This window comes from Homo sapiens, chromosome 1, assembly GCF_000001405.40.
Source record: "Homo sapiens chromosome 1, GRCh38.p14 Primary Assembly".
Taxonomy (NCBI): Eukaryota; Metazoa; Chordata; class Mammalia; order Primates; family Hominidae; genus Homo; species Homo sapiens.
In genome coordinates this window covers 85,283,668-85,311,138 of record NC_000001.11, presented here as the reverse complement: position 1 = coordinate 85,311,138, position 27,471 = coordinate 85,283,668, and the positions used below count along the sequence as shown (strand labels likewise).

At 45.0% G+C, this 27,471-nt stretch overlaps 2 annotated features.

The window, feature by feature from the left end:
* Positions 2,453–2,953: an enhancer, noted in NCBI's record as "H3K4me1 hESC enhancer chr1:85773869-85774369 (GRCh37/hg19 assembly coordinates)". NCBI's record gives its function as "activates a minimal SCP1, AML or CMV promoter by ChIP-STARR-seq in primed H9 embryonic stem cells {active_cell/tissue: H9 hESC(primed)}" and the evidence as "EXISTENCE:reporter gene assay evidence [ECO:0000049][PMID:30033119]".
* Positions 20,699–21,898: an enhancer, noted in NCBI's record as "CDK7 strongly-dependent group 2 enhancer chr1:85754924-85756123 (GRCh37/hg19 assembly coordinates)". NCBI's record gives its function as "activates an origin of replication core promoter dependent on BRD2, BRD4, P300/CBP, MED14 and CDK7 cofactors, with strong dependence on CDK7, by STARR-seq in HCT116 cells {active_cell/tissue: HCT116}" and the evidence as "EXISTENCE:reporter gene assay evidence [ECO:0000049][PMID:35650434]".

Here is a 27,471-nt window from a genome sequence, read left to right as displayed (position 1 = left end):
TAGAATCCCAGCTGGCTGCTTTGTAGAAACTGACAGGCTGATTCTAAATTTCACATGGAATTACAAGGGGCCTCAAATAGCCAAAACAATATTGAAAAGAAGAATAAGCTTGGGGGACTCGCACTCCCAATTTCAAAACTTTAAAAGCAACAGTAATCAAGACCATGCAGTACTGGCGTAAAGATAAACATATAGATGAATGGAATAGAATTGAAAGTCCAGAAATAAGTCCATGTCTCTATGGTCAACTGATTTTCAACAAGGGTACCACGACTATTCAGAGGGGAAAGGACAGTCTTCTCAACTGCTGCTGGGACAACTGGATACCCACATATCCAGCAAAAGAATGAATGAAGTTGGATCCTTTCTTCACACCATATACAAAAAGTAACTCAAAATGAATCAAAGACCTAAATATAAGAGCTAAAATATAAAACTCAGAAGAAAACTTAGTGATAAATTTTCATAACCTCAGAATTGCCACTTACATATGACACCAAAAGCACAAGCAACAAAAGAAAAACTAAATTGAACAACATCAAAATTTAAAACTTGTGCTTCAAAAGACACTGTCAAGAAAAGGAAAGACAGGCACGGTAGTGCACACCTATAGTCTCAGCTTCTCGGGAGGGTGAGGCAGGAGGATCCCTTGAGCCCAGGAGTTCGAGGCTGCAGTAAGCTATGATCTCACCATTGCACTCCAGCCTGGGTGACAAAGTGAGATCCCATCTCTTAAAAAACAAACAACTGAAAAGATAACCCACTGAACCAGAGAAAACATTTGCAAATTATATATCTGATAAGGGACTTCTATCTAAAATACATAATGAACTCTTACAGCTTGATAATAGAAAAGACAGTTTGAAAACAGGCAAAGGATCAGAGACATTTTTCCAAAGAAGATATACAAATGGCCAACAGCCACATGAGAAAGATGTTTGACATCATCAGTCATCGGGGATGTGCACATCAAAATCACAATGAGATATCACGTCATACCCACTAGAATGGCTAGAATCAGAGTCAGGTAATAGCAAACATTGGTAAGGAGGTGGAGAAATCATACCCTCCTAATGAGAATGTCAAATGTAGCCACTGTGGAAAACACTCTGGCAGTTCCTCAAACACCTACACATTGAGTTACCATATGATCCAGCAATTCCACTCCCTGGAATATACCTAAGAGAAATGAAAGCATATGCCCCCACCAAGGCTTGTACATGAATGTTTACAGCAATTATTTAAAATAACCAAAGGGTGCAAACAACCCGTGTATACCAACTAATGAATGGATAAATGAAATGGATGCCAACTGATGAAGAGATGAACAAAAATATCCATACAACGGGATATTATTCAGGTGTAAAAAGGAATGAAGTACTGAACATGCTTCAACATGAATAAACCTTGAAAACATTATGCTAAGTGAAAGAAGCCAGTCACAAAAGACCACATATTATATGAAATGTCCAGGATAAGTAAATCTGTAGAGACAGAAAATAGAATAGTGATTGCTTTGGAGGGGAGGGTGCAAGGAGGGAGGAGAGGGAGGAAAAGGGAGTGATAACTAAGGGTAGAGGGTTCTTTTTGTGGTGATGAAAATTGATGTGGTTATCGTTGCATATATCTGTGAACGTGCATAAAATCATTGAATTGCACATTTTAAATGGGTGAAGTGTTTGGTATATGAATTATATCTCAATAAAGCTGGTTTTTAAAATGACAGCAATAATTCTCTTTGTCCTCTTCATATCTCAAAGGGTGGTTGGGAACATCAAATGAGAGGATTTATATAAAAGTACTTGGTACTCTATGCAGTGCTATACAAATGTAGCCTATTATAGTATTGAATGGGATTAATCAGCTTTTCACCAGCACCTGTCAGTACAAAACTCCGAAGCTGCCATTCCTAAAACTACCTTCGCCCCCAATTAGAATTCCTTTTCTTTAGTGGTTAAAACTCATTGACAGAGCCCAACCCTTGAAATAGTGCTGCATAATAATTGCTTATGGAATGCTTCTTACCTTCATAGCCTTTAGAAAAAAAGAAAATAACGTTTCTTTTATATGTTTTCCTAAGACTCAACTCAAGTGTGTGTAATTACCACACATACCAAGCTCCTCATTATGTCAGCCCTGGAGCCCACGTGGCCATTATAATAATTTGCTAACTGGCAATTGTTCCTTTCTTCTCACAGTCCCAACCCCAGTCTTACATTTTGGCCATTGCTCTGCCCTTCTGAACTGGGGTGAATAGCAGTGTGAAGGCAAAGGGGATGAGAATGAAATATGCTCCAAGTGGCAAGTTTGAGAGTAATATAGACAGAAGCTGGTCCTTGGCCAGGTGAGCCTATGAGTGCAACACCAACGCAGCATTTACACCTAGGACAAGGAGGGGCGGAACAAGTCCCCTATGCAAAACTGAGGCCCAGAGAGACTCAGTCACCAGGAAAAGTCACACCGCTAGTGGGTGTGGTACTAGGGCTCAAACTCTGTGTTTGGCAGCATTACTCTACACCGCCCATTGAAAAACAGGTGCCCTACGAAAGTTTCAAAATTACTGCACATCAAAGTATCTTCAAAATGTATAAAATGTTTCCTACCTCTGTTTTTCCATATGAATGCCGATCCGACAGTGCATGTTGCCCCTTTTCCCCAGAGGCATCTTTTGATTTAGCCTCAAAAACAATGGAAATCCGAATATCCATGTTTGCCGACCTTAGCTTTTGCAGAAAAATTGTGGAGTAACAGCGCCCTCGGGTAGTCACTCGCGTTTTCTCAGCCGGCCTTTGAGCGCGGAGAAGTGGGGCTAAGAATGCCGCCGCTGCCCCCTGGTGGGCTTTGGACGCCTGGGCCCTCCTTACTGAGTAAAGGGCGTCTTCCCAGGATCTGCCTGCCTATGGGCCCGCGGAGTCACCTGGGAGACCCATTCCCAGTCCTGGCCTAGGCAGATCCTGAGGCGTGGCCTCTCCCACCTCAGCTGAAACCAATTAGCTGAAACCAAAATTGGAATCAAAGCCCTTGGCAGGGGGTGTTTTAAGATCCACACACGCTGGGACCTGGGAAGGCCTGAAGGCTTCGTGGCCAGAAACCCCTGCTGCCACCTATCTCTGGGCCCAAGCCTACGTTTCCTCCCCTGGAGCAGCGGCTCTTTAGCTAAGGGATTGTTCCCTTTTTGGAAAAAAAAAAAATCACCAAGCTCTAGGGTTGAGGTATGGGTAGCAACACTCTAATTAGTTATTTATATCTTAGTGTGAAATACGTTCATCTGACCCTTACCTGGTAGCAGGTGTTTCAGGGGAAAAGAAAGAATCTAAGAATAATGAGAGCCTACAGTAGGCATGGAAGGCAAGGGGAGAGAAAGGGAGAAGAAAGGGAGGAACGGCAATGGGGAGGGGAGGACAAGGGAAGGGAAGCGAGGGGAAGTGAGGGGAGAGGAGGGAAGGAGAAAGGAAGGGAGGGAAGCAGAGGACAGAGGAGGAGAGAGGAGAGGGGTGGGGAGGAGGCCAGCTAGACCCTTCTGCAGTCTTACTCAGTCCTCATTGCCCTAGTCTAGGCTTCAAATGCGTAAAGAATTTGCAAGTGCACTCTTGTTCAATTCGCAAGACATTTCAGGGCTCCCACGGACTCCCACCATTGCTTAGTGTATTACTCTGAGTTCTCCAGAGAAACAGAACCAGAACCAATAGAAAAAATATATATCTCATATATATGAATTACTATATATGCAATATATATGACTTAATATAAGGAATTGGCTCATGGGATTATAGAGGTTGACAAGTCCCAGATCTGCCGTCAACACACTGCAGATCCAGGAGAGATGATGGTGTAAGTTCCAGTTCAAATCTGATTGCAGAGGAAGACCAATGTCTCAGCCCAAAGGCAGCCAGGCAGAGAAAGAAAATCCATCCTTACTCAGCCTCTCAGTCTATTCAGGCCTTCAACAGACAATAAAGTCCACTCACACTGGGAGTGGGAGGGCTCTGTTTTCCTCAGTCCACTCATTCACAGGTGATCTTAACCAGAAACACCCTCATAGACACACACAAAATCACCTTAATCAAGTATCTGGGCACCCCATGGCCCAGTCAAGTGCACACATGCAATTGCCCTCCCAGTTGGCAGTAGCAGCACCTGTCGGCCACGCTACCTTCTGGTTGCTTGTGCCAGGCTGCTCTCCCACTAGACAGTAGAGGCTGAGGGCAGAAACAGCCTTTTCTAGCACAAGATCCTGGTATCTAGCACAAGAACTAACACAGGAAATGGTAAGTGCTCAGGATGTTTTAAAACTGCAAAAATGGACAAATGAACAAATGCACATACCTGGGTCCAATATAAAGAAAATACAGGCCAGGCACAGTGGCTCATGCCTGTAATCTCAGCACTTTGGGAGGCCAAGGCAGGTGGATCACTTGAGGTCAGGAGTTCGAGACCAGCCTAGCAACATGGCGAAACCCTGTCTCTACTAAAAATGCAAAAAGCAGTCGGCCATGGTGGTGCACACTTGTAATCTCAGTTAGTTGGGAGGCTGAGGCAGGTGGATCACTTGAATCCGGGAGGCGGAGGTTGCAGTGAGCCGAGATTGCACCAAGCCATATAGTAGTTGTCTCATTATACATCTATGTCCTTTATAGAGGACAGTGAGCTCCTAGAGTTAGGAGCCAAGTAGGTCACTGCATCCCCAGTGCTAAGTATGATGTTTGACACATAGTTGGTGCTCAGTAAATATTTGGTGACCCAGAGATGAATAGACCCATCAGTGAGGGAGAGAATGAAGCCAGCCAGCTGTCTCCCCAGAGATGGGGCGGGCTCAGATTCTCATTTGGAGCTAACTAAGAGTTACTCTTACCTGTGGTCAGGATCAGAGACAGGCTTTTACAAACTGGTATCCTGATATTCTCTTCAAACAGATTTGAGAAACCTTTGTAAAATTCCAATCTTGCTGCCTGTCACCACAGTTATCCAGAAACTGTCAAAACCAATAGGACTCCTTGGGGGGAAAGCCAGGAAGGCTGTACAATTACTGCTGTCTGTCAGGAGACTATGACAGCACCTTGGGCCCTTCCAGGGGAGGATGAAAGTTCTGATTTCTTCCTACTGGAGGTAAAAACAAGAAAAAAAAAGTTCTGATTAGGTGGACTCTGTCACACCTAGCAAGCCTGCTGGGCTGACTGGAGAGCTGCCCTAATGCTGGGAGACAGGTTTCCAGAACAATCTGGAGCAGAGTGAAGAGATCCGGCTCGACTTAATTGTACTTACCTACTAAAAAGTCTCTGCTGCTCAGAAAATGCAAGAAAGAGAAATCTACCTTTTGGGTTTCTGTGCCTCAGTTTTGCTTGTAAAAATATTAACAATGGGCCAGGTGCGGTAGTTCATGCCTGTAATTCCAGCACTTTGGGAGGCTGAGGTGGGCAGATCATATGGTCAGAAGAGCAAGACCATCCTGGCCAACATGGTGAAACCCCGTCTCTACTAAAATACAAAAAATTAGCCAGGCGTGGTGGTGCGTGCCTGTAGTCCCAGCTACTTGGGAGGCTGAGGTAGAGGAATCGCTTGAACCCTGGAGGCAGACGTTGCAGTAAGCCAAGATCGCGCCACTGCACTCCAGCCTGGGTGACAGAGCGAGATTCTGTCTCAAAAAAATAAAATAAAATAAAATAACGAAGGCCCCACGGAGAGTCACAGGCAAGTGAAGAGAAGCTGTTGGGTAGGTACAGAGCTTTCACAGAAGCTTAGGGAGCACAGCAACCCCCAGCTCCTCAGGTGGGAGGGAAAAGCAAACCTCTGGTTAGCCAAGTTTTCTGCCAGCTCACAGAGACCGTACTGGGTAGCAATGAAGATGTGGGACCTAGAATCAGAGCTGCTCTCAAATCCTGGCTCTGTCATTTACTTGCTTGGCCCATTACTGTGGTAGCACCAAAGGGAAGCTTGGAGGGATGTTAAACAGCTGTGACCTCCATGAGTTCCCAAGCTGTCCCAAGTGATGATAATAATCATTATCGTGATGGACAGTTCTCACACTTATGTAAAGTATAAATATAACCATATGAGAATTTTTTGGTATTTTTTATCACAATCTAAGTTAATATGTGTGCTTTTCATGCAAACACAGCATCAAGGCAATTCCCTGAGCAGTGCCCCCACCACCCCGTCACCACGATAAACCCCTCCTCTATGTGAATTCTGGAGCCAACACTGACAAATCTCCATTCCTCTCTAAACCTTGGTTTTCTTCTCTGTTACAGCAATAAAGGCTAATATAGTTATTGAGTACTTTCTGTTTGCCAGGCACTGAGCCAGATGTTTTTATGTGAATTATCCCATTTAATCCTTACAACAACAGTATGAAGTAGGTCCTTACCATTCTGTGCTTCAGTTTCTCAAAAGATAGAGACAATAATACCTACCTCCTGGGATTGGAGTCGGGGCTAAAAACAGAAGATGCATGTGGGATATCTGGCCCTGGTGGTGCTCAATGGTACAGTTCTAACAGTTGTAATGATTACAGTGATGTTGGAGAGGCTGCAGGTGAGGAAGTGAAGCAGGAAGAGGAAAAAGATGAGGAAGATGAAATCATGGTTCCTGGTGGGCAGAGATGCCAGCGTATACTTAGACCCTCCCTCAAGTGCTCATCCACAGATGCTGTCCCTCCTGACCATGAGACCTGAAGTGTCTCAGCAGCGTCACCATGCTTGGTTTTATTCATCCACACTCAGCTGAAGTAAAGAGGGGGCCTGCAGAGATCTATAGAGTAAGTGGGTCTGGCCTTGATGTCCCTGGCCTTGGCTGTCAACATCTTATTTCTCTTTTGGTGACACCCCCTCCCCTCAGAAGGGCCCCTCCCTAAGCAAGTTACTTACAAGGAGTTAGAGGGAGAGGGAAAAAAAGGAACAATCCAAAGTAGCCCAGGTCTAGGACTCCAGAGAGAGCCACCAGGTCAGGGAACATGGGAATGAGGTATGAGGTCTGAAGGCCAATAATGTAAGGACACAACAGTCTGGGCCATGTGAAAAGGGGCTAAAGGAGTGTGTGATCAAAATTGGTCATTGTCCAGCTATATCCACTCTCCCCTTCTTCCTTTTAGTAATAGGTTCTTGAAATTTTACCATGCACTTGGCCACTCAGCTGAAGACTACATTTCCCAGCCTCCCTTAAAGCTAATTTATAGTCACAGGAGTAAGTTCTAGCCAATGAGATGTGAACGGAAATGACATGAACAGTTTATAGGACACATCCTTAAAACAGAAGCCACATGCCCTTCCTCTCATTTCCTATCTCCCAATATGCAGAAACCCAGACCTGGTCCTGGTAAAGCAGCTTCAGCCAGGAAGACAAAGGCAATCCCATGGGGTTGGCGAAACCACAAGGAACCAGGCTTCCCAGTTCCCCTCACCCTGGGATGCTCACATATCTTGGAGTTTTTCCTTTAGGATTTTATAAACATCGATATTGTTTGCTCTTTGCATTAAAGCAGCATAACACGTGCCCATTTGCCAATTGTCCAAAATGAGTCTAAAATCCAGGTCCAAGAATGAGAATCCTCTGGCTAGAATCCCAGTCAGCATGTTACCAAATCCAGAGAAATCTTGAGGGCTTCTCTGAGAGGACATGGGACTGGTTTTCAGGGTTTCAGGGGAAAAAAACATAAAATTCTGAGGCTCAGATGCAATTTCTGGGCTGAGGTGCAAGGGGAGGTGAGCCACTCCCATGAGAAAGGGCAGAGAGACCCTCTCTCATCCCCAGATTGCTGGGATCAAGTTCAGGCCAATGCAGAGGACTGGCCTGAGCTTGATCTGGCCAAAGATCCAGTGTGCAACCGTGGGACAGCTCATTCCTGGGAAAAACAAGACCCAGCTTTCTCACCGTTGTATCCTGGCTTGCTCACCATCACATGGCCTGGCACACAGAAGGAGCTCAATAAATATTGATTTGAATATTGACTGAATGAATAATAAGAATTGTACATTTTGAGGTCTTCAAAACAACAACAGTTCTGGCAGCAAACACCAAGAGTTAGACACTCTAAAGGAAAGACAAGTGTTGGCCCTGCTTGGCCAGTTTCTTCATGGAACATCCCTCTGAAAACCCAGGGACTGCAAAGGCTCTTTAAAAAACAGACCTCTCTTTCTCTCTCTCTCTCTCTCTCTCTCTCTCTCTCTCTCTCTCGGCATCCCCGGGCCACTTCCCAAACTGTAGCAAACGGGGAGTTTGAGTACGTCAAAAAGCCCATGGATTTGGAAAAACTGATTTAGGAAGACTGACTAAATGGAACTGCCTTCTTTCACCACTCATTCATTCATGCAACAAAACTTTATTGAGAAAAGATTATAGTCTCTCTCCCCATCCGGAATGAGCTCATGTACTGTCCCAGGCTTTTCTCACAATCACAGCCTCTGCATACCTCCTAGCCTCCCCCTCAAAGAGTGGGTAGGCCATGGGGAGCACAGCCAGGATGCAACAGCTAGGAGCTACTTGAAGATGGAAGCAGAGACACAGTAATACCACAATCCAGGGTTGGAATGAAAATGGATTTCCCCCTGCCAGAATTGTCCTCAGCTACAAACCAACCTTGCTCCTTAGGCCTCCACTCCCCTCCTTCCCATCTGCTGAAGGATGAGTGGGGCTGCCCTTACTCTGAGGTGGCACAATTCAGAGTCCAGGCTGCTGCAAACCCCTGCACATGCTGCTGGCTGGAAAGTGGATGCAGAGATCAGATCAGAAGGCTTTCCTTGTTGGAGCCTGGACACAGGTGCTCATACTACCCACTGCCATTTGGAGTGCAGTGGCTGCTGTCTCCCAAACCCTCCTTGACCTTGGGCAGATTGGAACTGGGCAGTGAGTGACCTGAGGACCCAGGAAAGGGAAAGACTGGAAGGCAGGGGAACCAGCCCTGTGCCTGGGGGTTGGGAGAGGAGTGATAGAAGGGGTAGGAATGGGAAGTAAAATACCTAGGAAACCCTGCCTATTAGGGAACTGTGTCTGAAAGCTTTTTATCAGAAAACCAGTGTGTATGACAATGATGACGGTGACCACGAGCGTGATGTGGGGCCATGCGTGGTATCAGGAGAAAGTGATCATGATCCATCCCTCAGGACAGCCAGCAATGAGGAAAGATGAACTAAAACCCTCACTGGTTGTTTAAAGAAAATACAGATTTAGTTCTTGCTGGAGGAGCTGCTTATTTGTGGTTGACCTTATATTTGCAAAAACCAGGATGCATATTAAAAGAACATGTCAGGCTTTTGTAAAAAAATTTTATTTTGAACTTGTCTGAGACTTGCAGAAGAGTTGCAAAAATAGTACAAAGAGTTATATATATCCCTCATCACGTTCCACTAATGAAAACATCTTACATGACCATAGGATAATGATCAAGAACGAGAAACTAACATTGATACAGTATTATTGACTACACCACAGGCCTTATTTGAATTCCACCACTTTTTCTGCTAATGTCCTTTTTCTGTTCCAGAATCCTAACCAGGACCCCACATTACATTTAGTTGTCATGTCTTCTCATCCACTCCAGTCTGGAACAGTTCCTCAGTCTTTCATGAACTTGACACCCTCGAAGAGTACTGGTCAATTCTTTTGTAGATTGTCTCTTCATTTTGTAGAATGTTTTCTTATGATTGGAATCATGTTATGCATTTTTGGCAAGAATATCACAAAACTGATATTGTGTTCTTCTCATCACATCAAAGTGTTCATAATGTTGATGTGTCATTACTGGAGATGTTTACATTCATCACTTGGTTAAGCTGGTGTCTGCTGAGTTCTCCACTGTAAACATAACTATCTTTCCATTTGTAGTTAGTAAGTAGTTTGGGTGCAATATTTAGATTTTTAACAATCCATTATTTTCTATTGATCATCCTTCTTAACCTCTGCAGGTGTCTGATTCTCCAGTGTAGTATTCTGGTTAGCTTGAGTAGGTCACAGCCCCTTGACCCCAGATTGTCTTGAGGTCAATGGTTTTAGCAATGCCCAATAAATATTCAATGGGTATAGGTGGAAAGTTCCACATGAGACATAACCATAAATGCAATGTACAAGCCTTGTCTGGATCTTGGTTCAAATAAACCAATTATAAAAAGACATGTATAGCAAATTTTAATATAGATAGGATATTGAATGATACTAAGAAATTATTGTTATTTGCGTTAGTGTGATCATGGCATTATGATTATATTAAAAATATCTTTTTCTCATAGAAATATATAGTGAAGTATTTACAGTAAAAGTGATATGATAACAGGGATTTGTTTAAAATAATCCAGGGAAAAAATATGTGGAGAGACACATGATGAGAGAGTGGCAAATGCTGATCACTATTGAGGCAAATAATTGGCACATGGGGTTCCGTTATATTTTTCTAGTTCTGTGTATTTTTTTAATTCCCAAGGTAAAAAGTAGAGGTTTAGATAAATTAAAAAGTGATTTATCTCAGCTAATCTGCCTCAGAAAATACCACACTCATATATGAGTGTAATTTTATTCTGCATTCTGTGAAAACTGGACACTTCCCATACTACAACAAAAGCAAAAAATGATCCCATTCTCAGGATCTGGGTGATTGCTTGCTTTGGGTTCCCAGCCCGGATGACACTCCCCTTTTGGTGGCTTTTTCTCAGGGGCACTCTTTCATCCTTGTCTTCAGTAAGTATTCACCTTTCTTGCTGCTAACTCCTTTCTTTTTTTACCTTTTTCTTTTTTTATAGAGAGATAAGGTCTTGCTGTGTCACCCAGGCTAGAGTGCAGTGGTGTGATTACAGCTCCCTGCAGTCTCAATCTCCTGGGCTCAAGTGATCTTCCCACCTCAGCCTTCGGAGTAGCTGAGACTACAGGCACATGCCACCACACCCAGTGAATTTTTTTTCTGTATAGACAGTATCCTCCTACATTGCCCAGGCTGGTCTTGAACTCCTGGCCTCAAGGAATCCTCTCACCTCAACCTCCCAAATTGCTGGGATGGCAGGCATGAGCCACTGCGACCATCCACCAACTCCTTTAATTCATCTTAATGTTTGTCCTGTTCCTTCTAGAGATTTCAGAGGTCATTTGACCCCAGAGTTGGATTGGGTAGGAAAGTTAGCCTCTTTGAGGCTCAAATTCTTTATTTATAAAATGAGGCTACCATAGACCTACCACACGGGTCATGAAGAGAACTGCAGAGGATAACATGCATGCTCCTATTCTGTGCAGGTGTGGTACATTGGGGGTGCTCAAGAAATAGAACTTTTCTTCCGCTGTGGTCATGCCTGCCCCAGAAAACCCTAGAAAAGGCCCCAGTCCTGGCACAGCAAGACATTTAGGACCCAAAACCTGGACACGAGACCTGGACAATGTGACTTTGCTGAGTGGCAGAATTGTTGCCTCACTCGGTAGCATAAGTTGTTTTGGAATTTGATGTGGTTAGAGATATAAACGGCAATAATCTGACAATTCTATGCTCTTTCTGACCTGGCAGATATCTCTGAGACCACCGTAGATGATTGTGCAGTACATATACCTGTGATACACAGGTGCACATGGTGGTCCCAGACATCTGCCCCCCCAGATGTAACTCACTTCCTGCCTTCCTCTCTCTATCCCCCTCTATTCTTTCCCATCCTTTTTCCTCTTTTCATCCTTTCATGTAAATGGAAATCACAGTAACACTCTGAGGTTGTAACGTAGGTCAAAGTAGATGTGTCTAAAAGTGCTTTAACTCTAAAATGCTATATAGAAAGTTATGCTTTATTGTTTCATTTTTCAGAGCAAGAACTATTAAATATGTGTTAGATGCCATCAGTTAAAGTGCTGGGTTGGTTTATTTGGTGGGTTTTGGTTCTAGTTGCTGTGCACATTCCAGTCCCTAAGGCAATCAGTGGTATTTTGAGAACCTAGCTGGCATCCCTGCATGACTGGGATAGAGACATACTCTCCCGAGTGGTGACCCTCCTCCTGGAGCATGCTAGCTAGTTCTGCACAGGTGAGAAGTGGCTCAACTATAAATTAACACCTGGCATTCAGTGTGTCTGCCCTTGTAATTCTTGGTGTGGGGATTGTATCAGAAACCATACGTGTTTCCTTTGTCCTGACATACAAGACTTGTCTCTCCAGATTGGCAGGTACACAGGCCTCTGGCTGAACCCCAATTTCAACAACTCTGGAAGACCCTTTGAGGTGCTCCCCAGGACGCTGTTGGAGTCTCAGTAATAGGATTTCACTTCCCACCCTGATTTCTGAACCTATTGAGGAATAAGATAAAAGACCAAGTGGTTAGAGGCCAAAATATCACATTCACCATTGATAAAGTTTAGGTTGGAAGGCCCAGCTTGTATCTCTTGGCAAATGGAACCTGAGTTTTAGGCGCAACCCTTTCATGGGAGTGCTGGGCCAGGGAAAGCTTCCACCCTGGCCAGGGCCTACCTGGAGGAGCTGAGCAGAGCCTGTGCTCACAGCACATGAGTGCTCCCAGGAGGAGGACATAAGGTTTTGAGCCACGCTCCCAGTTTTTCCTCCCAAATTCACCAGGTACAGAAGGAACTCTGACAGGGACCAGTGCTAGCCAAGAACTGTTCCTCTCCCACAAAGTCTTCTCAGGGCAAAATGTTTATAGAGTGACAAGTTCCCTCAAGAGGAACATCTGGTCACCCTCTAATCTATGCTGTTCTGACAGAATAACTAAAACACGCTCTTCCATGCCCTGTCTGGTGTTTACCACAAACCAAAGCTATGTGCTGGCATTCACACCTCCCACCACTGCAGTCACTTCTTCCGTTTACCTAGCATCCAGCACCCACTCATCACCCGCTCTAGTCTGACGGCCCACAGGGTATTGTGGCTGGAGCCTAGCATTTCCTTTTCAACTGTTTAAGGGATGCAACCTGCTTCTCTTTTGTTCTTACACAGACGCATTCTATGGGCAGCTTCCGTATCTTTGGACCTCAGTGTCATTAAGTATCACATGGCCTCACAACAATAAATGGAAAACCTAATCCTCGTGTATGTGTTTTTAAAAGTCCGTTCCATTTAAATGAGTCATACCATTAAGTCAACACACAGTTTCGCTTTAAACCCTAAGTCACTTACATAAATCCCCAGGGGTTCACTGTGACCCTGTGTAAGGCTTCTTCCTTTTCTGTAAACTTTCGTTCTTGGATTACACATTTCCAGGGATGACTGCCAACTCCTTCTTTTGCCTTCAGTCCTCTGAGAGTGTGTGTGCGTGTGTGTGTGTATTTTATGTCTGCATCCTGGTCCTCCAAATAAAAGCCACCTTTCCTGTTTTCTCAGCGACTTGAATCAATTCCAGTTTTCCATTTTCCCATTAGTGTTTGGTGTGTGTGCTTTGCTGGATTGGTCAAAGAAGCTCCCCACTCTGCAGAATTTTTGAAGGCTCCTAAGGTAGAGAGCATTACATTGGAAAGAAATGGAGCTTTCTGATTCTTCAGAGACTCAGCCTTCTCCTCTGAGGACCCAGCTGCTGGTCAGGTGTTTAGGAGAACCCAGCAGGCAGTCTATGCTTCCATGGTCTTCCCAATAACACTTTATGCTTCCTTCTACTAAGTACAACCATCTATATTTTAATGACTTGTCTTTCTCCTTCCCTGCTCTGTGAATTTCTCCAAGGCAAAAACTCTGTCCTAGCCAGTTATGATGGCTCACGCCTATAATCCGAGCTACTCAAGAGGCCAATCACTTGAGGCCAGGTGTTCAAAACCAGCCTTGGCAACATAGTGGGGCCCTCATCTCAAAAAAAGAAAAGAGAAAAAAAGGCCTGTGTTCTATTCTTCTTTTGATCCATTTCAGTTAGCTCCTGACTCTTAGTGCCAGCTCAGTTAGTATTTGAGAAAAGGTAAAGGAAAAGAAAGAAGCAAGGGAGGCCAGAAGGGAGACAGGTTCCAGCACCCTTGAATATGCTGGCACTCCCTCTAGAAAGCTGCTCCTACATGTTTCTCTGTGGTCGGCTCCTCCTCTCTCTCTCATTCCTATGTCCATTCAGCATCACCCCCTCAGAATGTCCTTTCCTGACATCCTTCTTAAAGAAGCCACCACACAGTCATTCTCTATTTTACTTTCCTGTTTTATTTACTTCATAGCTGTTTGTGATCTGAAATTATTTAACTGTATGTTTATTTATTGTCTGACTCCCTCCACTATGATGTAAGCTCCATGAGGTACAATAGTTTTAGGATCTTAAATAGTGCCTAGCACATGATAAGTGCCTAACAAGAGTCAATTGAGGCTGGGTGCAGTGGCTCACTCCTGTAGTCCCAGCACTTTGGGAGACCAAGGCCAGTGGATCACCTGAGAACAGGAGTTTGAGATGAGCCTGACCAACATGGTGAAACCCCATCTCTACTAAAAATACAAAATTAGCCGGGCATGGTGTTGGGTGCCTGTAATCCCAGCTACTTGGGAGGCTGAGGCGGGAGAATCGCTTGAATCCAGGAGGTGGAGGTTGCAGTGAGCTGAGATCATGCCACTGCACTGCAGCCTGGGCAACAAGAGTGAAACTCAGTCTCCAAAAAAAAAAGGCCGGGCACGATGGCTTATGCCTGTAATCCCAGCACTTTGGGAGGCTGAGGCAGGTGGATCACCTGAGGTCGGGAGTTCGAGACCAGCCTGACCAACATGGAGAAACCCTGTCTCTACTAAAAATACAAAATTAGCTGGGCATGGTGGTGCATGCCTGTAATCCCAGCTACTTGGGAGGCTGAGGCAGGAGAATTGCTTGAACCCGGGAGGTGGAGGTTGCAGTTAGCTGAGATCACACCATTGCACTCCAGCCTGGGCAACAAGAACGAAACTCCATCTCAAAAAAAAAAAAAAAAAAGAGTCCATTGAATGAATAAACAGAGAAAGAGAGAAAGGTAGGCAGGCTCTCCTCTCCCTTTTGCCCACTTGAATTGACACCTTAAAATGTAGACCACCACAGACAAAAAAGAAGCTGTTCTTCTGTCCTTTGCTGACCTGTCTACCTGGCTCTTTAACATGGACTGCAGGGCCCAGAAGACATCTTTACTGGGAGAACAGTTCAAGATACAAAAGAACACCGTCAGGAAAGTGGTGATGCTCACGTGCAGAGCCCTTCTAGAAATGGTTCCAGCCACACCACCTGTGTTCACTGTACAGACTGAGCTTCTGAAAGGATGGCAGGGAACATACGTTTCACAGACACCCACAGGTATTTAAGCAGAGGTGAGGGCTACTGTTGATATGTCATGGCACCTGGAAACACGTGGCACTACAAGACCTCAGGAGAGAGCCAGACTTGGCCAGCCAGGGGCCAGGGGCTGCCGCGCTGCTGCTCTGCCAGCTGCACTGTCCTCATCTCTCCTCTGTGCATCCATTTCCTGCTCTCTCACTGCAGATCTGTGCACAGGAGCCAAACATGCTGCTCAAGAACCTCAGAGGCCCATTTCCCAATTCCACAAGGGAAAACCTGGTGAGTCCAGCTTGGGTCCAGTGTCTACATCTTGTCCACTCAACTATGAAGGGAAGAGGGTCACACTGTATAGGTGTGGCAGCTGATACAGGGTTCAGAAAAAGGGGTATGTAGTTGGGGATCACCCCAAAAACATTTACCATCTTTACCTTAGTCAACAGATGGTGTGCTCAGACTCCAATATCTGAGAAGCAGTTTATTATCATTGCCCTTTAAATGTCCAGATGTTTTCCATTTGTCTTTTCTGTCATTAGCCCACAATCACCTGGCAGTGGAAGCATAAAATATAAGAGGCTGCCCTCTGAAATATTTGCTGGGTCACTAAGGGCATTAAACACTTGTTTCCAGTGTTAGGGAAGCTAAAACAGAGGTCGTGGGTCAATGACAGAGCAATGTTTTAATGTCTACATTGGCCTAAGGAAGCCAAATGCTGCAGAAATCCTGTGGGCAGCTTTCCATCTTCCTCTTTCATCGATGTCAGGGCCTGAGAAAACTCTTGGAATGTATCCACTTAAGTCCAACCACTTTAACAAAACAAGATAGAGTATATTCTGAATGCAACCCAAACACACCTCTCTGTGGGTAATTATGAAGCCAGCTCAAGCAGCCTTATGCCTCCTGCGATGACTATTTCTGACTCATTCCATTGGTTTTCTGACTTTATAGCCCAGGTGTATGTGTTATAAGGTGACACTAGGTGAGATCATACCCTGTTTTTTTTAATACTTGGTAATTTTCAACCGAATTTATGTTTAAGAAACTGTTCCTTTGGGAGGCCAAGGCGGGCAGATCATGAGGTCAGGAGATAGAGACCATCCTGGCTAACATGGTGAAACCCCATCTCTACTAAAAATACAAAAAATTAGCCAGGCTTAGTGGCAGGCACCTGTAGTCCCAGCTACTGGGGAGGCTGAGGCAGGAAAATGGCGTGAACCCGGGAGGCGGAGCTTGCAGTGAGCCGAGATCGTGCCACTGCACTCCAGCCTGGGTGACAGAGCTTGACTCCGTCTCAAAAAAAAAAAGAAACTGTTCCTCTGTTGAGGGAATCCTGTTGATGGACTGGAAGAGAGATGGGAGGAAGATGGGCATAAAATAATGTGGCTTCAAAGAGAGATGTGGCTCTGCACATTAAAGTAAGAAATTGGTTTAGCTATGGACAGAGACACATTTCCAAAGATGATGTCTCCTTTGGAGACATATTCCTACCTGAAGAATATGAGAATATGTGACCCAATGTGTCCACCACTGCCTTGACTTATTGAGAGGTTTGGGGCCAGTTCTGTCTGGTCCCATCTTGCCCGGGTACTATTCCATGAAGACCCTCTAGGAGACCAAGTCTTCAATCCTGGGGCTTCTAAGTGCCCTGGACCGTTGGAAGCAGGGACTTTTCACGTGGTGTGTGAGGGGCAGAGGGCTGAACAAAGCCCTAGGGAACAGGTGGTTGTCTTTGGGCCTTGCTAGTCATCACTGTGACTGCAGGCCATGAGCAATGTTCACCACAGGCAAATGAGACATCTAATCTAGGTCCTCAGGACCAGTGGGGGTCTCCAGGAGTATAGAGCTTATGGGCTACAGTCCATAGAGGACAACTATCTCTCCTTCTGCCCTTGGGGTCCTTAGCATCTCCCTATCCCCCAGTCTGTGGACTCCTTAGTCTGGAGAGCAAAGCTTTCTTTGCAATTTTGCAGTTATGCAGCAGGCTGTTTCTGTCTTATACCTGCACTGGTGACTTTTGAACTTAAACACTATAAATTTGGCTAATTCTCTGCTTCAAGAGCGACATCCTTCCCCTAAAGCAATGATAACTCATATCGAGTTTTCTGGGCTGGGAGGAAGATCATTAGAGTGCAAGTGAAGAAAATCAGAGAGCACAAAGCTGGAAGAGGTGTGCAGGCTGCGGGTGGGTAAGAACACAGAGTGAATTATTTAAAACATTAACCCACTTCATATATAGGATCAGGTATTGCGCCTGTATATAAGCCTTGTTATTGTGGAGTTGTGTGTTCTCGTTCACATGATTCCTTGCTGGGCTACAGGACAGACATGTGGACCTCACATGGAGGAGAAAGCAGGAAAAGTAGCTGGACTTGGCTTGGTTCAGCAGAGTCTGGGCTGAACTGTGGACGTCCTGCTGCAGAGTTGAGTGGGGAACCTGGATCTTGGGATATGTACCAGGGTGGGACAATTCTGAGGATGTTCTATACCAGCTCTGTCCACTAGGAATATGCTGAGAGTCACATATGTAATTTCACATTTTCTAGTAGCCACAGTTTTAAAAAGCAAAATGAAACAGGTGAAATTAATTTTAATATTAATACATTTGTTGAACCTTGTCTACCTAAAATATTATATCAATGTGGTAATCAATATAAAAAATAATCAATAAGATGTTTTACATTATATATATAATTTCTAACAGTATATATATATATATATATATATATATATATATATATATATATATATATATATACTGTTAGAAATCCAATGTGTATTTTACATTTGGAGTGCAACTCAATTCTTACTAGCTATATTTCAAATGCTCAGGGGTCACAAGTGGCTAGTGGCTACCATCTTATAGGTCAGGGAAGCTCTATACTATTTCTCACAGGTTCCCAGTGGGATTGAGCCCCAGTTGCCCACAGTGGTAATCTTCTGATTGACGTCTCCTATCTAGATTTCCTTTCCTTCCCTGAAGGCCTCCATTCCCTTGCCAATGCTTCCTGGGATCATCCTTCAAGTGAACCACTTGCTGTTCACTCCTTCCCTCCAAGTCAGCTTCTGGGAAATCCAACCTAAGATATGATGTTCTAAGCCCATAAGCACTAAGGATAGCCACATCTTCTGTTAGTTAACTTCTTCTCACTGTTGAACTTTCTATTATTTTTACATGGAGTAAATACTTGCTAAAAGTTACAGCAGGGTGTATTCTACGTTATGACAACCTAGGGGGTCTTCCCATTCTGGGGCCTGAATAGCAGAGAACAATGTCCACTTCCCTCAGGCCAAAGTGGTGGGAGCAGTAGCAGTGCCCAAGGAGATAGCTGTGCTTAGCAGCGGGGTGACCTCTCAAGTGTCACCAACAGCAATGTGCCTGGGCATCAAGGAGCCTGGGGCAGCAGAACACAAAGGACTCATCTTGCTTTCACTTAAGATGGCCCTGGGGACCCTCGGATAGGCCAGAGGACAGTCTCCAATCACCAGACCAAGAGGAGGAAGTACCAGCTACCACAATTTTATATTTAAAAGGAAATTTAAATTTTTGTAGGTATAGATGGTAAGGTCGGGACACCCTGGTCACAAGTGAATTAATTCTCTTTTTTGTTTTGTTTTGTTTTTTGAGACAGAGTCTCGCTCTGTTGCCCAGGCTGGAGTGCAGTGGTGCAATCTCCACTCACTGCAATCTTTGCATCCTGTGTTCAAGTGAGTCTCGTGCCTCAGCCTCCCGAGTAGCTGGGACTATAGGTGCACACCATCACATCTGGCTAATTTTTTTGTATTTTTTTGCTGAGACAGAGTTTCACCATGTTGGCCAGGCTGGTCTCGAACTCCTGGCCTCAAGTGATCCATCCACCCACCTCGACCTCCCAAAGTGCTGGGATTACAGGCGTGAGCCACTCTGCCCAGCCACAAGTGAATTAATTATCAATCTGCTGTTTCAGTCAGGATGACTTCAGAGAATCCTCTGTCCATGCCTCTGAGAACAACAAAGAAAAACAATGACCAGTTGAGATGCAGATCAGCTCTGGCACTGTTCATAAATTCTCCTAGAAGAAGTGCTTTCCAAGGAGTGGGAACATGACTTATAGTGATGCCAAACAACACCTGACACATAACACAGCCCTGTGGGGGTGTGGAGCAAAGAAGAAAGAGCAGTTTCATGTCAGCAAGCACTAAAATATTTCTAGAAGAAACCTGACCCCTAAATGTCTACGTCTACATATATTAACAAAATATTCTGTGACTTATTTATCCAATGAAACTGGAAATTTCCTTCCTGCTCATTTGTATTTTGTCTCCATTTCTCTTATGCAAAATGGAATACCCTTTTGAGAATCTAGATGATTATTGCCGGGCACATTTTCACTGGAGCCAACATCTCACCAAATAAAGGCCAATATATTTCAACCTCCATCAGCCAACATAATAAATGAACAAAATATTATACAGAAGATGAGTCTAACCTTGTGGCCTTATTTCCTTACCTCCCAAAACCATATGCCTCATCATCTTTTCCAAAAAGTGAATTTAAAATAACAATAATAATAACATTTCATTTTGGCTTCCTTCCACAACACACTCTACTGAAATTACTCTCTCTAAAGTCACCAGCAACTCCCTATGCTAACATCAGGGGTCTTCTCTCAGTTCTCTTCCTACTTGAATTTTCTGCAGCACGCAACATATTGAACAATCTTTTTTTTTGTTCACTCCATTGCAATAAATATTTATTAGTACCTACTATAAGCCAAGCACTGTTGTAAACATCTTCAGTATATTAGAAAATAAAACAAAGACCTCTGCCCTTCTGGAGCTTACACTGTAGCATAAGAAGACATCATAAACCATAACCCTAAGGAAATGATAGCATATGTTAGAAGGTGGAGACCAAACTGCCCTTTTGGTGTAGAAAGGAATGTCTTGGGCTTTGGAGGCAGGAGAGCATGATTCAGAGACTGGAGATGACAGAAAGCTGTGGGGTGATATGAGATTTTCTCCAAAAATATCCCCAAACAGTCTGTGGCTTCCTAAGCATCACAAAATGCCAATGTGACCAGATGTCTTATAGAAAACAGAGTTGGGGTGTTGCTTCCTGGCTGGCTCTGGCAAGTTCTGTGGATTCCCTCAAATCCACCTCTCCGCGCTCTCTCACTCCTGCCACTGCATTGAGTTCGGGTCCTGAGTTCTGCCTGGATGACCACTTCAGCTTTCAAGCTGCAGTCCTTTCTGGAGCCCCAGTCTTAAACTATCATCCACTTCACTCCCCATAGTGCTGCCTGGTGGATTGATTGTCCCCTAAAATACAAATCAAATCCTGGCACTAGCTTTTTCCTGAAGTAGACATCCTAAATTGGCAATATGCTTTCCAAAGAGCCCCTAATAATATACACACTGAGAGACACACACTCATCTGCTGAGAGAAGCATACCTAGAAAAAGCACAATGGAATCCATTTTTCTCATGAAACCAGAGCAAAATGCTACTCCTATTAAAGAGGGTTGACATGCTTTTCATTGCTTTAGGAATTACCCGTAGTTGAAATAAACAGCAAAGATTCTAAGGTCATTGACAGAAGTAAACTAATTTTAACAGCAATCCAGATAACCACGAGTGGTTGGTTTGGGGGCTTTAGAGCTGTCACCAAGCAGTTTAAAGCACAGGAAGCAAGCTCACTGCCTGGAAGTTGAGCTGCAAATGAATCCCTAAATTTAGCATCTTGATATGGGTGAAAGCAAACTAGGTACATGATTGCCCAATCAGAAACACAGAATCAACTCACTTAGCAATAGCGAGTTATGTTTCTGCTCTGAAGGTAGGTCAGCAGTGTACAGGCATTGCGCAGAGGAAACTCACCCAGGGCGGCAGTCTGGGCCTGGGTTTCCTCAAGGAAGCATGGTTGAAGGAAGAAACTGCAGTGTAGCTGAAATAAATCAAGGTTATCATCAAGAAGATGGTGCTGACAAGTTTCAGATCTGAAGGATGAATTAATAATGATACTAAGTCTCAAGAGTAGTGAAATCGTGATCATTGCTCACATCTCCTGCCTGCATGGTATATGCAGAAACTAAGCACTCTCCAGCCTTTACATGAATCAATGAAATAAGATGTTGCTATTTCTTTTTCTTTAAATGTCAGTGTTTCCCAATATTCCACCTTTACCCCTCTTCTCCTATTTAAGCTTTTTCCTGGGTGGATGAGGAACCTGGGGCATGGAGCATTTAGGTAACTTGCCTGAACCCGAACAGTGAGTAACAGGACTACAGGGAGTGACTCAAGCCCAGGCAAAGTAAGGCTGAAAACCAGTGAATGAGGCGTGAGTCAGAAACCACAAAGACGGAGGTCAGGATGGAGGATGGGGCAAGGAATGGGTTGGTGCAGGTGGATTAGAACTAAGGCAAGGAGGAACTACAGAACACTGAATTTTCCTTTGGCTGTTTCCTGGTGTATCCCAGAAGTAAGAATGGTTGTTGAGAGGAACCACGAAAGTAATAGAAAAAGTATGCTGACATAAAAGGGGTTAAGAATGACCTCCAATTGAGGCTGGGCGCGGTGGCTCCTGCCTGTAATCCCAGGACTTTGGGAGGCCAAGGGGGGCGGATCACCTGAGGTCAGTTAGAGACCAGTCTGGCTGACATGGCGAAACCCTGTCTCTACCAAAAATACAAAAAAATTAGTCAGGCATGGTGGTGGGCACCTGTAATCCCAGCTACTTGGGAGGCTGAAGCAGGAGAATCACTTGAACCCGGGAGGCAGAGGTTGCAGTGAACCAAGATCGCACCACTGCACTCCAGCCTGGGTGACAAGAGCAAAACTCCATCTCGAGAAAAAAAAAAAAAAAAAAAAGAATGACCTCTGATTCAGTCACTCATTCAATATGTATTTACTGAACACCTACCATATGTCAGGGTCTGTTCTAGGAGCAGCACTGAAAAAGTAGATAAAATACTGGCCTCACTGGAGTTACTGGAGTTACACCCTAGTTGAATAATAATAGATTAAATATTAAACAATAAAAATAATAGATTGCATATGCCCTGTTGTCATAGGCAGCCCTTTCCAAGGCAAAACCCCAGTAAAACCAGATTAGGAAATTAGAGGAAGAATAAAGGACAAAAATAACAACTTCTGACCCTTCAGGCCAAGCTCTTCCCCTGTCTAGCAGAGATGCCCAAGATACAAGTGGCTCTGGCAGTGTGAATACAGAGGCTTAGAGCTGGGCACACTCAAAATCACTAGGCCAAGCCAAGCACCATGGCTCATGCCTATAATCCCAGCACTTTGGAAGGTCAAGGCAGAAGGATCGCTTGAGCCCAGGAGTTCAAGACCAGCCGAGGCAACAAAGTGAGACCCCCATCTCTACAAAAAATCAAAAAAATTACCTGGGCATGGTGGTGTGCACCTGTGGTCCCAGCTACATGGGAGGCTAAGGCAGGAGAATCACTGGAGCCCAGGAGGTCAAGGCTGCAGTGAGCCTTATTCACACCACTGCACTCCAGCCTGGGTGATGGAGTGAGACCTCGTCTCAAAGAAAAATAAAAATCACTAGACCAATCACATCACCTTCTGGCTTTTGAGGGGTTTTTTAAGAGACAGAGTCTTGCCCTGTCACCCAGGCAGGAGTGCAGTGGCGCAATCATAATCACGGTAGCCTTTAACTCCTGGGCTCAAGGAACCTTCCTGCTTCAGCCTCCCAAGTAGCTAGGACTACAGGTGCAGACAGGGTCTCATTATGTTGCCCAGGCTGGTCTCAAACTCCTGGCCTCAGGTGATTCTCCTGCCTTGGCCTCCCAAAGCACTGGGATTACAGGCATGAGCCACCATGCCCAGCCACCTTCTCATTTTTTAATTACCTTCTATGACTCCCTCACCACAAAACACACACACACACACACACACACACACACACATATATAGTTTGGGTTGTGCTTGCTTGAATACCTTGCAGGAAAGAAAACATTACTTCCCAATGCAGCTCACTCTAGAGAAGTTTAGGTTTTGTTTTGTTTTGTTTTGTTTACCTTATATTGACTCTGACATTAAAATTTTTTTATAACCTAGGTGATAGGTCAATAGGTGCAGCAAACCACCATGGCACATGTCTACCTATGTGACAAACCTACACATCTGGCACATGTATCCTGGAACTTAAAATAAAATAAAATTAATTTTTTAAAAATCATTTTATATTTTCAGTTTGGGGTTATCCACAAATTAATAAAAATACTTTCTGGATAAGTGGCTTTCAAACAATGCTCTATAAAGCCCTTGGTGCTTTGAGGAAGGACTCAGAAGTAGTGGGGCAGGGTGGGTGGGCAAGACAGAAAACTTCTACAGACCCGGTAGACAGAGCCTTGAGTTTAGTTTCCACAGAGAATTTTATTGGAAGAAAGGGTTGCACAGTTAGAAAAACATTTGAAAACCCCTGTTCCAGATATTCATCCCACAAGTCATTATTATAAATGTTGAATCAAATAGAGGTGAGAGCAGAGCATTAAGATACATTTCCCTGCATACTGATGGCAATCACTGTGTCTTGGGTATGGCAGGAAAGCCAGTTGCGAACCAATCTCATTGTTCCACATGGACCCCCAAGGCTTAAGAAGGACCCTGTAAATGTCTCCCTGAAGCTGTCAAGAGTGTGCGTTTCTGAGTTTCACCATTCGTTGAGATCACTGCTTTTCAGCCCTGGATCTGCATTAGAATCAACTGGGAAGTTTTAAAACTACCACTGCTCCTCGAGAAATTAAATATCGTTACCACGCGACCCAGTCATTTCACTCCTAGGTATATACCCAAGAGAAATGAAGACCCAAGTTCAAATGTCTGAAGGCCACATCCCTATATACCAGCTGGCGAATACTGGGGGAGGAACTAGATGTCCCAATTTGCAAATGAATTTTTATAATATTATTCATAACAGCCATATAGCCATATGAATAGCATTATTCATAATGGCCAAAAATATGTGGAATTAATCCAAATCTCTCTCAATTGATGATTGCATAAACAAAATGTGACATATTTATACAATGGAATATTATTCAGCCATAAAAAGAAATGAAGTACTGATTTGTGCTACAGCATGGATGAACCTTGAAAACATTGTTAAGTGAAAGAAGCCAGACACAAAAGGCCATATATTGTTATCATTCCATTTATATTAAATGTTCAGTATGGCAAATCTATAGCAATAGAAAGTAGACTAATGGTTGTCTAGGGATAAGAAAGATGAGAGGATTAGGGGTGGTGGCTACAGATACAACTATCTTTTTGGAGTGATGAAATATTCTGAAATTGATTGTGGTGATGGTTGTAGAACTCTGTGAATATACTTAAAACCACTGAATTGTATACTTTAAATTGTATATGTATAAACGTATACTTAAATTGTATGGTATGTATATTATATCTCAATAAAACTGTTATCACAAAGATAATAACTACCACTGCTTTGGCTTCCACAGAATTTTTGTTAGGTAAAATATTTTATTAAAGAACAATTTAAATATATATAAAACAAGTGTTATGGTTTGAATGGGTATCTTCAAAATTCAGGTGTTGCCAATATGACAGTATTAAGAGGTGGGGCTTTTAAAAAGTGATTAGGCCATGAGGGCCCCTCCCTTAGGAATAGAATTAGTGCTTTTATAAAATGGCTTCATGTAACGAATTCATTCCTCTTGCTCTTTTTCTACCTTCCACCATATGAAAACTTAGCATTTCTCCTCTCTGAAGAATGCAGCAATAAGGCATCATCTTGGAAGCAGAGCGCAGCCCTCACCAGACACCAAATGCCGGTGCTTTGATCTTGGACTTTCAGCCTCCAGAACTGCTTGAAGAAATTTTCTCTGACCCCACACCCTTGGGGCTAGTCTGGAATACAGGCCTTTCCTTCATATTTCCAAGACATAGCTCTGTTTGCTTCTGTGATCTTTGAGAGTGAAGGCACCTCTTCTTATTCATATTCCATTCTTGGTCTTTCTATATACAGTGTCCCCTTAGCAGCAAATACCTCCTTTAAATGGAGGAAATTCTCTGGCACATACACTAAAACCATGGCTTCTCCCCAGTGAGAGGGCTGGGCTTTGGAAAGCAATAGAGACGATGGTGGAAGTAACAGCTCAGTACTTATAGCTAGCAGGCACACATCCTCCTCCCTTCACTTTGGATTTTTCCAAAGAATTTTTTAAATTGATCTAGGTGGGACTTGGATGTCCATTCCCAAGTGATTCTATTAAATAGCCTAGACTGAGAACCACTGACTCCAGTCATGGGAATGGGAAGGGAAATGATTGATTTTGAGGGATGTCACCCTCAAAGAATATTAAAGGAGTAGCTCTTGAAAGCCTAGATGTTCCCACTCTAGGCTTTCAAGAGCTACTCCTTTAATATTCTTTTCTGAGGCTGGGCACAGTGGCTCATGCCTGTAATCCCAGCATTTTGGGGGACCAAGGCAGGTGGATCACTTGAGCCCAGGAGTTCAAGACTAGCCTGGGCAATATGGTGAAACCCCATCTCTACAAAAAAATACAAAAATTAGCTGGGCATGGTGGTGCATGCCTGTAGTCCCAGCACCTTGGGAGGCTGAGGTGGGAGGATCACTTGAGTCCAGGAGGTTGAGGCTGCAGTGAGCTGATGTCATGGGATCCTGTGGGTGTCACTTCACCAGCCGGAAACCTGTGTGGCCAGTGGCGCTTTTCCCTGAGTTTTTACTTAGGCCCGCTGGGCTTGTTCCACCCAATCAGCCTGGCAGGCTGTGCTCAGCTTGCACTACTGGCCTGAATCTCATGCCTGCCAAGGGAGAGCCAGGCACAGAGCAGCAAGGGGTGTGTGAGTGAGCAAGCATGGTGCCCGGCCACTGAGCACAGCCAGGCACACTGGCTGTGGTGGGGCAGGCAGTTCCAAGCACCAGCACAGGCGCCAGCTCCCTGTGAGGCTGTGGCTGGACCAGGTGGACCACAAGCAGCTTCCATGGCTGGCACTGAGGAACGCAGTGGAACTTGGAAGCTTGGAGATGCCGGGAACCACAGAGCCCCAGAGAGGGTGTTACAGCCCTGGCTTGGGGAGCTCCTAGGTCTGGGCTCCCAGAAGGGCTGCAGCTCTCTCTCCTTCTTGTTGCCCACAACGTGGTAAGCAAGGGGTGTATTTCAGACCCATTTGTGTTATAGCTCTTTTAGCCCAGGCATTCAGCGCATCCCAAGTTCTTGTCCTGTGTCTAGGAAGAATGAGGTACGCAGACAAGTGGAGGGTGAGCAAGTCAAAGAGGAGTTTGATTGAGTGACAGAACAGCTTAGAGGAAACCACAGTGGGTAGCTCCTCTCCACAGGCAGGTTGTCCCAATAGTGTTCAGCTCTCAGCAGAGGAGACCCTAGAGTAGGCAGCTCCTCTCCACAGGCAGGTTGTCCCAACAGTGTTCAGCTCTCAGCAGAGGAGACCCTAGAGTGGGCAGCTCCTCTCTGCAGCTGGTAGTCCCAACTTATGCCCAGCTCTCAGCAGAGAGGAGATCCTGGAGCAGGTAGCTCCTCTCCAAAGGCAGGTCATCTGGTCATCGGAGTCTGGCTGAGTCCAGGGGTTTTTATGGGCTTCAGAGGGGAGGAAGTACATGCTGATTGGTTCACGGGTGGCAATGGGTGGGCCTGAAAATAGCACCATAAGTTCCCATTCTGGCCCATCAGCCCCACCACCAGGCTTTAGGCCATCCCTGGCTTGAAGGTGAGGCTTCACCAGGGACCTGCCCCTTTCTGCCCAGGAGCTTGTCTGCCTCCTGCCACTGCCCAAGCTATTTGTGTTGAGGGGCTCCTGCAGGCCCATGCTGAGCCACCCTCAGTGCTCCCTCAGCCTCCCTCCTGTGCTCGTCAGTGCCCAAAGCCTGGAGGGGAGCCAAGGCGGCAGGGGTCTGGCATGTCAGTGCTGCTCTGAGCATGCATACACCTGGCTGGGTTGCAAGAGGGCCTGGGCTTGGCCTCAACTTTGCTCCAAAATCAGAGTCGGCACCGGGAGTGGGGAGAGACCAGGCAACAGGAGCAGGTACTTCTGAGCCTGCAGGGGCAGGGAGGCTTCCCTGGCCCCCAAGAGATGCCCGGGTCCACAGCCATGGCTGGATGGCTGCAGCTGTGCCTGAGAGGGCAGGGCTCCTGCCTGATTCTGGCCCCCAAGAGCACAGGGATGTCCAGGTCTGGAGCTGTGCCTGGGCAGCTGCAGCTGCACCCAGGGAGCACAAGGCTCCCGCCCTGCCAACTTGGAAGTGGGCAGGGCTTCCACAGTTCCCGGCTCCTCCCAGCCCTGTAGAGCTCGCAGCCCTGGCCACGCCT